Genomic DNA, 9,997 nt, shown 5'->3' on the forward strand with positions numbered 1-9,997 from the left:
CTCACAACCTCTCAGGCCCAGGGGATCCTCCCGTCTCAGCCTTCCAAGGAACTAGGACTACAGGAGTGCTGATTTTTGTGTTTTTTGTAAAGACAGGGTTTCATCATGTTGCCTAGGCTGGTATCAAACTCCTAGGCTCAAGTCACCCTCCCTTTTTGGCCTCCCAGAGCACTGGGATTACAGGTATGAGCCACCAAGTCCAGACTCTAAATGCTTAGCATCTATTTCTGTACTTAACTTGTCATAGACAAACAATTGGCAGACGACAGTGGTCCACAGATCTCATTTTGAGTGTTATTGTTTCAGACCTGTCTCGCTCTAATGTTATTAGATGATGTTAGATTCCAAACCAATAGTGCATTATCTTTATTCTCTCACTCTCTCTTTTTTTTTTTTTTTTTTTTGAGACGGAGTTTTGCTTGTCACCCAGGCTGGGGTGCAACGGCGCAACCTCGGCTCACCTGCAACCTCTGCCTCCGGGTTCAAGTGATTCTCCTGCCTCAGCCTCCCGAGTAGCTGGGATTAACGGTGCCCGCCACCACACCCGGGTAATTTTTGTATTTTTAGTAGAGACAGGGTTTTGTCATATTGCCCAGGCTGGTCTCGAACTCCTGGCCTCAAGTGATCCGCCTGCCTTCGCCTCCAAAAGTGCTAGGATTCCAGGCGTGATCTCGAATGTTGAGTTACCAAGCTCTGTTTCCTACTGCAAGATCATTAACAAGGATTATGCAAAGTACAGAAACCTGGATCCATGAGTTTCCTAGTACTTGGTTTGTACATATGTGTTTAATGTACTTTTTATATCTAAAGCCAGGAAAAAAGGAAAAGAGAGAAGGATATATATCTCCAGGGAGATACATATATATATATACACATACATACATACATATATATACATACATATATATACACACACACATACATATATATACATACACACATATATATATACACATACATATATATATACACATACATATATATATATACACATACATATATATATATATATATATATACACACACACATATATATATATATATATATATATTTTTTTTTTTTTTAGACGGAGTCTTGCTCTGTTGCCCAGGCTGGAGTGCAATGGTGCGATCTCGGCTCACTGCAACCTCCACCTCCCAGGTTCACACCATTCTCCTGCCTCAGCCTCCCGAGTAGCTGGGACTACAGGCACCCGCCACCACGCCCAGCTAATTTTTGTAATGTTTAGTAAAGACGGGGTTTCACTGTGTTAGCCAGGAGGGTCTCAATCTCCTGACCTCGTGATCCACCCGCCTTGTGATCCACCGCCTCAGCCTCCTAAAGTGCTGGGATTACAGGCGTGAGCCACCGCGCCCAGCTGGAATATTTATATTGATATTGAAAAAGTTCATGGGTTTTCTCCAAGCTGGGGAGTAGAGAGGGGCGTAAGAGGAACTTGAGCCAAAAATAAGTTTTAGAACTTCTAACCATACTACAATTTGGTGGGGAGGAAAAACTACATCTTCAAAAACAGATGCTTCAATTAATACATCTCTTTTACTATTAACTAGTGTCACAAGTGACATTAATGGCCTAATGGTTCCTGCTGCAGTGGAACTGTCTCCAAGTCTGAGATCCCGTAATTATACGCTGGACTGCACATGTCTTACAAGATCTTTGCGGTACCCTGCGGAGGAACGGTGTCTGGGATTCCGCCAATTCTAGGGTTCTGGTGGCAGAGGAACATGACATGTGCAGCTCAGGGGTCAGGGAATTTTACCTGGGGGTCTTCAGGACCTACAGTCCTGGCCAGGCCTCCCAACCCTGCTGGCCAGCGGTGAAGACCACTGTGAACTCTGTGCAGGTCTATTTTCCAAGGGTCTTCATTCTAAAATCAACCATTGGTGCCACTGAGGGAAGGGGGATGCCGCCAGAGGGTGTGGCTACCCCGTCCCCAGGCTGTACCCCACGGCAGTATCCTCACTGCCAAGCAACAGCGCCTCTGCTTCCCCCAGACCACGGTCATCATAAAGTTGCCTCTTTATTTTTATTCTTATTTCCCTTTAGTCTCCAACCTCCATTCTCACACCCAGTTATTGTGTTTCATTCTGACACTCTTTGCTATCCATTGCTATGGGCCTGTTTAGCAACTTTTAGAAATGAGATGTGAGGCCAGGCGTGGTGGCTCATTGCCTGTAATCCCAGCACTTTGGGAGGCCGAGGTGGGTGGATCACCTGGGTCAGGAGTTCGAGACCAGCCTGGCCAACGTGGTGAAACCCCATCTCTACTAAACACACACACACACACACACACACACACACACACACAAATTAGCTGGGCGTGGTGGTGTTCACCTGTAGTCCCAGCTACAAGGGAGGCTGAGGCGGGAGGATGGCTTAAACCCAGAATGCGGTTGCAGTGAGCTGAGATCATGCCACTGCACTCCAGCCTGGGCCACAGAGTGAGACTCTGTGCCCGCCAAAAAAAGAGAGAAGAAAAAAAGAAACGAGATGTGATATAAACAAACTTTTTTTTTTTGAGACAAGGTCTTGCTCTATCACCCACGCTGGAGTGCAGTCACCCAGGCTGGAGGTCCTAGCTCACTGCAGCCTCAAACCCCTGGGCTCAAGCAATCCTCCTACCTCAGCCTCCCAAAATGCTGAGATTACAGGCATGAGCCAGCGTGCCAGCCTCTGCCTTCTTCTTTACCTTAAAACTCCCCCTTGGCCAGGCGCAGTGGCTCACGCCTGTAATCCCAGCACTTTGGGAAGCCGAGGCAGGCAGATCACGAGGTCAGGAGATCGAGACCAGCCTGGCCAACACGGTGAAACCCTGTATCTACTAGAAATGCAAAAAATTATCGGGGCGTGGTGGCACGCGCCTATAGTCCCATCTACTCTGGAGGCTGAGGCAGGAGAATTGCTTGAACCCTGGAGGTGGAGGTTGCAGTGAGCCGAGATCGCGCCACTGCACTCCAGCATGGGCAACAGAGTAAGGCTTGGTCTCAAAAAAAAAAAAAAAAAAACTCCCCCTCACCCCTTACTCATGTGCTCCCACTACCTGGTCTGGTCTTTCTATTCCACCAAAATAGTCCTGGCCTCAGGGCTTTTTGCACTTGCTTTTCTCTGTCCCTGGAAAGTCCCTTTTGATCCCTCCCAATCTCCCCATTGCTATCTCCTTGTCAAAGAGGCCTCAGGTCAAAGGGCCACGCCAGAGAGTTCTTCAGGATCACCTGATCCAGATCATGGTATTTTCCTAACCACCAATGCTTACCGCCAACCACCTGATGGTTTTGTTTGTGTTTACTGACCACATCCTCTGCAGGAATATAAGGTCCACGAGAGGGGAGTCCTTACCCATTTTCATCACTTGCGTCTCCCCTGCTCCTTTTATAATGCTTGGCATCTACCAAGCAAGGATGCCTGTTTATGCTAAACGAGGGCTCTACCATTTGAGCTAGTTCCCCAGCTCGAAGGATGCACGTTTATGAAACGAACAAATACACCAGGGGGACATGCTCATGAGAAGATAAGAAGCAGCATTTCCACCAGAGAACATCAGAGCAGCCCTGAGGCAGGGTGTTTGAGGTCAGAAAGGCAGCCAGGTGGGGCCGGAGGGGTTCAAGATGATGACACGGGCAGGGGCGAGACCCATCGGGGAGCAGGGCTGAGCCTCTTGGATCACAGAGAGGATATGGCCACGGGACAGACAGAATGTGATCTGATCTGCACCGCGAGTGGTAAAATAGGCTTAGCATAGAATTTAAAAGCTTAACCTTTTTTTTAAATTTTTTTTGAGATGGAGTCTCGCTCTGTCGCCCAGGCTGGAGTACAGTGGCGCGATCTCGGCTCACTGCAACCTCCGCCTCTCGGGTTCACGCCATTCTCCTGCCTCAGCCTCCCGAGTAGCTGGGACTACAGGCACCTGCCACCACGCCCAGCTAATTTTTGTATTTTTAGTAGAAACGAGGTTTCATCATGTTGCCCAGGCTGGTCTCGAACTCCTGACCTCAGGTGATCCACCCTCCTTGGCCTCCCAAAGTGCTGGGATTACAGGCGTGAGCCACCGCACCCGGCCAAGCTTAACCATTTTCAAGCGTGCAGTTCAGGGGCATTAAGCACATCCACACTGTTGTGTGATCACCACCACCCATCTCCAGAACTCTTTCATCTTCCCAAACTCAAACTCTGTCCCTATCAAACACTCACACCCCTCTCCCTCAGCCCGCAGCCTCTGGTAAGCACCATTCTACTTTCTGTACCTATGAATCTGATGGCTCTAGGAACCCCATATAAGCAGAATCATGCGTGGTCTGTCCTTCTGTGTCTGGCTTATTTCACTCAGCACCATGTCCTCAAGGTTCATCCATGTTGAAGTGTGTGTCAGAATCTCCTTCCTTTTTAAAATTGTGATCATGCCTGTAATCCCAGCACTTTGGGAGGCCAAAGCAGGTGGATCACCTGAAGTCAGGAGTTCAAGACCAGCCTGGCCAAGATGGTGAAACCCTGTCTCTACTAAAAATACCAAAATTAGCCTCGCGTGGCCTGTAATCCAGCTCCTTGGGACGCTGAGACATGGGAATCGCTTGAACCCAGGGGGCAGAGGTTGCAGTGAGCTGAGATCAGGCCACTGCACTTCAGCCTGGGCAACACAGCGAAACTCTGTCTCAAAAAATAATAATAATAAAATAAAGTTGTGATAAAATATACAAAACATTAGGGTAGTGGGGGGGACTAGGAAAAGGGGATGGTTGCTGGGTACAAAAATATAGTTAGATACATAAGTAAGATCTAGAATTTTCTAGCACAGCAGGGTGACCACAGTCAGCACTAATTTGCTGTACATTTTAGAATAACCAAGAGAGTGCAATTGGAATGTTCATCACACAGAAATGATGAATGCTGGGGGTGATGGAAACCCCATTTACCCTAATGTAATTATAATACAAAGATCTCATGTGTCCCATAAATCTATACACCTACTATGTACCCATAAAAATTAACAATTAAAAATTTTTAAATTAAAAATATAGGTCAGGCAAGGTGGCTCACATCTGTAATCCCAAAACTTTGGGAGGCTAAGGTGAGAAGATCGCTTAAGCCCAGGTGTTCAAGACCAGCCTGGGCAACATAGCAAGACCTAATCTCTGCCAAAAATAGAAAAAAACATAGCCAGGCACGGTGGCTTACGCCTATAATCCCAGCACTTTGGGAGGCCGAGGCAGGCAGATCACCTGAGGTCAGAAGTTCGAGATTAGCCTGGCCAACATGGTGAAACCCCGTCTCTACTAAAAATACAAAAAAATTAGCTGGGCGTGTTAGTGCACGCCTGTAATCCTAGCTCCTCAGGAGGCTGAGGCAGGAGAATCGCTTGAACCCGTGAGGCAGAGGCTGCAGTCAGCCGAGATCGTACCACTGCACTCCAGCCTGGGCAACAAAGCAAGACTGCGTCTCAAAAAAGAAAAAAAAAATTAGCTGGGTGTGGTGATGCCTGCCTGTGGTCTCAGCTATTTGGGAGGCTGAGGTAGGAGGAACGCCTGAGTCCGGGAGGTGGAGACTGCAGTGAGCTGTAATGCCACCATTGCACTCCAGCCTGGGCAACAGAACAAGACCCTGTCTGAAAAATAAAAGTAAAAATTTTAAATTAGAGATATATAGATATACACAACATAAACTGCACTCCACCCATTTTAAGGCTAAATCGTACTGCATGGTATGCTCCTCCCTAGGACTGATGTGTCTCGAGGGGGCCTCTTAGCTGCTGGGTGCAGCTGCCCAAGGGGGCACTGCGGGGCCCGATGCCGCCCTCCATCCAGGTCACCACTGCACCTCCACGACCACCCACAGAGGCCCCACTTTGCAGGCGAGAGCCCGGGCTCAGAGGCCAGTGGCCGGCCTGCGCAAGGACACGCAGCAGGTGAACCCTCCGCAAGGCGAGGAGCAGGGCTGGGAAGGGCGAGGGCGCCTCTCCGCGCCCCTCCCCTGCCCGGCCACAGAGCCCGGCCCCGCCCCGGGCCCTGCTCGCGGCCCGCCCTGCGCCGCCACTGCGCAAGCGCAGGAGGAGCAGCGTGGCGCAACCTTAAGGCGCATGCGCGGCCGGCGCAGACTTGCGGAAGGCTCCGTTCCCCTCGCGTGAATCCGCCGATCCGGGCTTTGGGGCCCGCCGGGAGCTCTGTTTATAAACACACGGCGCGGCTGCCGGCGAGGGGTAACCCTAAGGGGAGTGGGGTCGGAGGTCAGAGGTCAGCGGGCGCGGGGTCGCCGGCTGTGAGACCGGCCCCGCCACCCTCGGGGACTGCTGGCTGCGCAGCGTGGCCAGCCGGACCGCCCTACTGCGCACCGGGGCTGCCGGGGCGCCACGTGGTGCGCACGTGGTCCGGCCCCGGCGCGGCAGCTCCCCTCCCCCACCACGCGAGCCTGGCCGCAGCGCCCGCTGGCGGCGCGGCGTTGCACATTGCGCGTGCGCACAACTCGCCGCGAGGCGCCTTCCGGTGGCGCGGCGGGGTCGGTTGCCTCCTCGCGACGGCTGCGCCGGGATGTTCCGGGGCGGTGGGGTCGCCTGCCCAATGTCGGGTGCGCGAGTGACGGGTGGAAGCTGGATTTGTGCGCGTTCTTCAATGCTCCAAAGGGAGGAGGGAGCCTCCGAGAGTCCACGTGGGGCCGGTGGGATTCGCAGGGTCCGTTTTCTAAACATTGGGTGTCCTCGAACCTGGGGGCGCGGGCTGTGTCCGCCCCCAGCAGGGATGACCATGCCTGGGTCAGTGGCTGCATAAATAAATAAACGAATGGGGAGGAAATTGATAAAATATTAAAAGAGTGTTGTTTCAGAGTTTTTACTATGTCACCTCTTACAGATTTATGAGAGTTTGTTGTTTTTTGGAGAAGAGGGGTCTCCCTATGTTACCCAGGCTGGTCTCAAACTCCTGGGCTCAATCCATCCGTCCGCCTCAGCCTCCTGAAGTGCTAGGATTACAGGCGTGAGCCATGGTGCCCGGCCTGTTGATGAGATTCTACGTGAAATATATTGGGCGTTACCTAAGCACTCAGTCAGTGGTAGTTCTTATAGTTGTTGCTTAAAAACAGAAAGAAATGTCATACCGTGTTCTAAAAGGATTTGAGAAAGGTTTGCAAAGACTAAAAAGCAAGTGGCAGGGAAAAATAACATACGCAAACTTCCTCCTGACTTTTTCTGCCATTTTATAGCAAAGGCTCAGAATTGCATTGCCATTGTCGGTTGTTTCGGTAAAATTAGTGTTCCTCAAGTTATCTACTCCAGGGACATTTTTTTTTTCTTGAGACAGGGTCTTACTCTGTTGCCCAGGCTCGAGTGCAGTGGCACAGCCATGACTCACTGCAGCCTCAGCCTCCGGGGTCAAGTGATTCTCCTGCTTCAGTCTCCCGAGTAGCCGGGATTACAGGCGCGAGCCTCCATGCCCAGCTAATTTTTGTATTAATGTACTTTATAGGAGACAGGGTTTTGCCATGTTACCCAGGCTGGTTTCGAACTCCTGGCTTCAAGTAATCCTCCCACCTTAGCCTCCCAAAGTGCTGAGATTACAGGCATGAGTCACCACACCCAGCTCAGCAATATCCTTTATTATTTTATTTTTTATTTTTGTAGAAACGAGTCTCACTGTATTGCGCAGGCTGGTTTCAAACGCCTGGCCTCAAGCAATCCTCCCACCTCAGCCTCCCAAAGTGCTCGGATTACAGGTCTGAGCCACCGCTGCCAGCGCATCTTAAATACAGTCATGCATCGCTTGGGAAAGGGGATACCTTCTGAGAAATACATTGTTAGGCAATTTCATCCTTGTGTGAACATCATAGTGTGTAATTCCACAAACCTGGATGGTACAGCCTGTTGCTCTTAAGCTACAAACCTTTAACAGCATGTTAATGTGCTGAATACTATGAGCAATTGTAACACAATGGTAAGTATTTACGTATCTAAACGTAGAAAAGAGAAGGTAGGCCGGGCGCGGTGGCTCACGCCTGTAATCCCAGCACTTTGGGAGGCCGAGGCTGGCGGATCACGAGGTCAGGAGATCGAGACCATCCTGGCTAACACGGTGAAACCCCCGTCTCTACTAAAAATACAAAAAAAATAGCCGGGCGTGGTGGCGGGCGCCTGTAGTCCCAGCTACTCGGGAGGCTGAGGCAGGAGAATGGCATGAACCCAGGAGGCGGAGCTTGCAGTGAGCTGAGATCACGCCACTGCACTCCAGCCTGGGCAACAGAGTGAGACTCCATCTCAAAAAAAAAAAACGTAAAGATATAGTATTATAATCTTACGGTATTATAATCTTAGAGGACCACTATCATATATGGCGTGGATGGTTGGCTTATTGCATGATTGTAAATACCTACTATGTGCCAGATACTGCTCTGGACTCTGAGGTGCCTGGGTAACCTCTATTTAGGTCAACGGAAAATCTAAACGTGGTTACATTATAAAGCAAAGCCAGGAAGTACATATCCTAATGGTCAGGCTGATGGTACATGTTTAACAATCGGCTTGGGAAGGACTGCATATATACACACACATTTATTATAAATGTTACTGGTATGAAGCGTGTGTATCGTATCAATTGCAAATAATGATAAAACACACAATGCTCTTTTTGTTTGTAAATTCCATAGTCAGTTGATTCTCAGAGAATGCTTTCCTTTAGCATTGCTGAACTCCCGTGTCCATAGCCAACCTGTGCTTGAAACTGAATTGTAATATGCAGGGTTGAGTTGCTACCCAACCCACCATTTTCCCAGTAAATAATGTTTGGTTTGGTGGGGTGGCTCATGCCTACAATCCCAGCACTTTGAGATTGTATGGGAAGCCAAGGCAGGAGGGTCACTTGAGCCCAGGAGTTTTTGTTGTTCTTGTTTTTGTTTGTTTGTTTGTTTTGAAACGGAGTTTCGCTCTTATTGCCCAGGCAGGAGTGCAGATGTGATCTCGGCACACCGCAACCTCTGCCTCTTGGATTCAAGCAATTCTCCTGCCTCAGCCTCCCAAGTGGCTGGGATTACAGGCATGCGCCACCACGCCCAGGTAATTTTGTATTTTTAGTAGAGAAGGGGTTTCTCCATGTTGGTCAGGCTGGTCTCAAACTCCCGACCTCAGGTGATCCTCCCGCCTCAGCCTCCCAAAGTGCTGGGATTACAGGCATGAGCCATCACACCCGGCCAAGCCCAGGAGTTTGAGACCAGCCTGGGCAACATAGCAAGATCCTGTCTCTACAAAAAATAAAACAATTGGCAAAGCATGGTAGCATGCACCTGTGGTCTCAGCTATTTGGGATGCTGAGGCTGAAGGATTGCTTGAGCCCAGGAGTTGGAGGCTGTGGTGAGCCATGATCACACCACTGTGCTTCATCCTGGGCAACAGTGAGACCCTGTCTCAAAAAAAAAAAAAAGTAAAATAAATGTAATGTTTGACAGGAGTGTTGATATTTTCACTTATATTAACAAGTAAGAAATGAAGCAAAACACATATAGATCCGAACTTTATTTGTTCCTCAATGATGTCAGCAACTTCTTTGCTGTATTGGAGCATGGTTTTCTATTACTGGGTGAATAGTTCCTCAACATTTTGTGCTATTCACAATATAATGGCTGCAGACATCACAGAATTTGAAGTTTAACCACATTGTTAATTTTCTGTATTACTTATGTCTAGGGTTTGGCAAATGGATTCTGCAGAGTCAGATGGTAAGTATTTTCCACTTTTCCAGACACGTACAGTCTTTGGCACAGTCTCTTTTGTTTTGCTTTGTTTTGTTTTAACCACCCTTTAACAATGTAAAAAAAAATTTTTTAGCTCAAGCAAGAGCCAGATTTTGCCTCCAAGCCCTGAATTGTAGCATTTTCAGATTTTCACAGTGTAAATATCTCTGCAATAGTTGTTGCAAGCTGCAAAGTGGAGTATCTGAACCAATGCGGAGTATCTGAACTTGGAGTTGGGAAGATAATTTCCAGTATACAGATGGAGTAGAGTAACCTTAAAAGCATAGATTACAGTAA

At 49.0% G+C, this 9,997-nt stretch overlaps 4 annotated features.

Annotated features, from left to right (window-relative positions):
• Positions 3,130 to 3,179: a silencer, noted in NCBI's record as "silent region_17894". NCBI's record gives its function as "represses an Ori minimal core promoter by ATAC-STARR-seq in GM12878 lymphoblastoid cells {active_cell/tissue: GM12878}" and the evidence as "EXISTENCE:reporter gene assay evidence [ECO:0000049][PMID:35858748]".
• Positions 3,190 to 3,309: a silencer, noted in NCBI's record as "silent region_17895". NCBI's record gives its function as "represses an Ori minimal core promoter by ATAC-STARR-seq in GM12878 lymphoblastoid cells {active_cell/tissue: GM12878}" and the evidence as "EXISTENCE:reporter gene assay evidence [ECO:0000049][PMID:35858748]".
• Positions 5,845 to 6,044: a silencer, noted in NCBI's record as "silent region_17896". NCBI's record gives its function as "represses an Ori minimal core promoter by ATAC-STARR-seq in GM12878 lymphoblastoid cells {active_cell/tissue: GM12878}" and the evidence as "EXISTENCE:reporter gene assay evidence [ECO:0000049][PMID:35858748]".
• Positions 6,145 to 6,534: a silencer, noted in NCBI's record as "silent region_17897". NCBI's record gives its function as "represses an Ori minimal core promoter by ATAC-STARR-seq in GM12878 lymphoblastoid cells {active_cell/tissue: GM12878}" and the evidence as "EXISTENCE:reporter gene assay evidence [ECO:0000049][PMID:35858748]".

The sequence above is a fragment of the Homo sapiens genome, chromosome 7, assembly GCF_000001405.40.
Source record: "Homo sapiens chromosome 7, GRCh38.p14 Primary Assembly".
In the NCBI taxonomy this organism is placed as follows: Eukaryota; Metazoa; Chordata; class Mammalia; order Primates; family Hominidae; genus Homo; species Homo sapiens.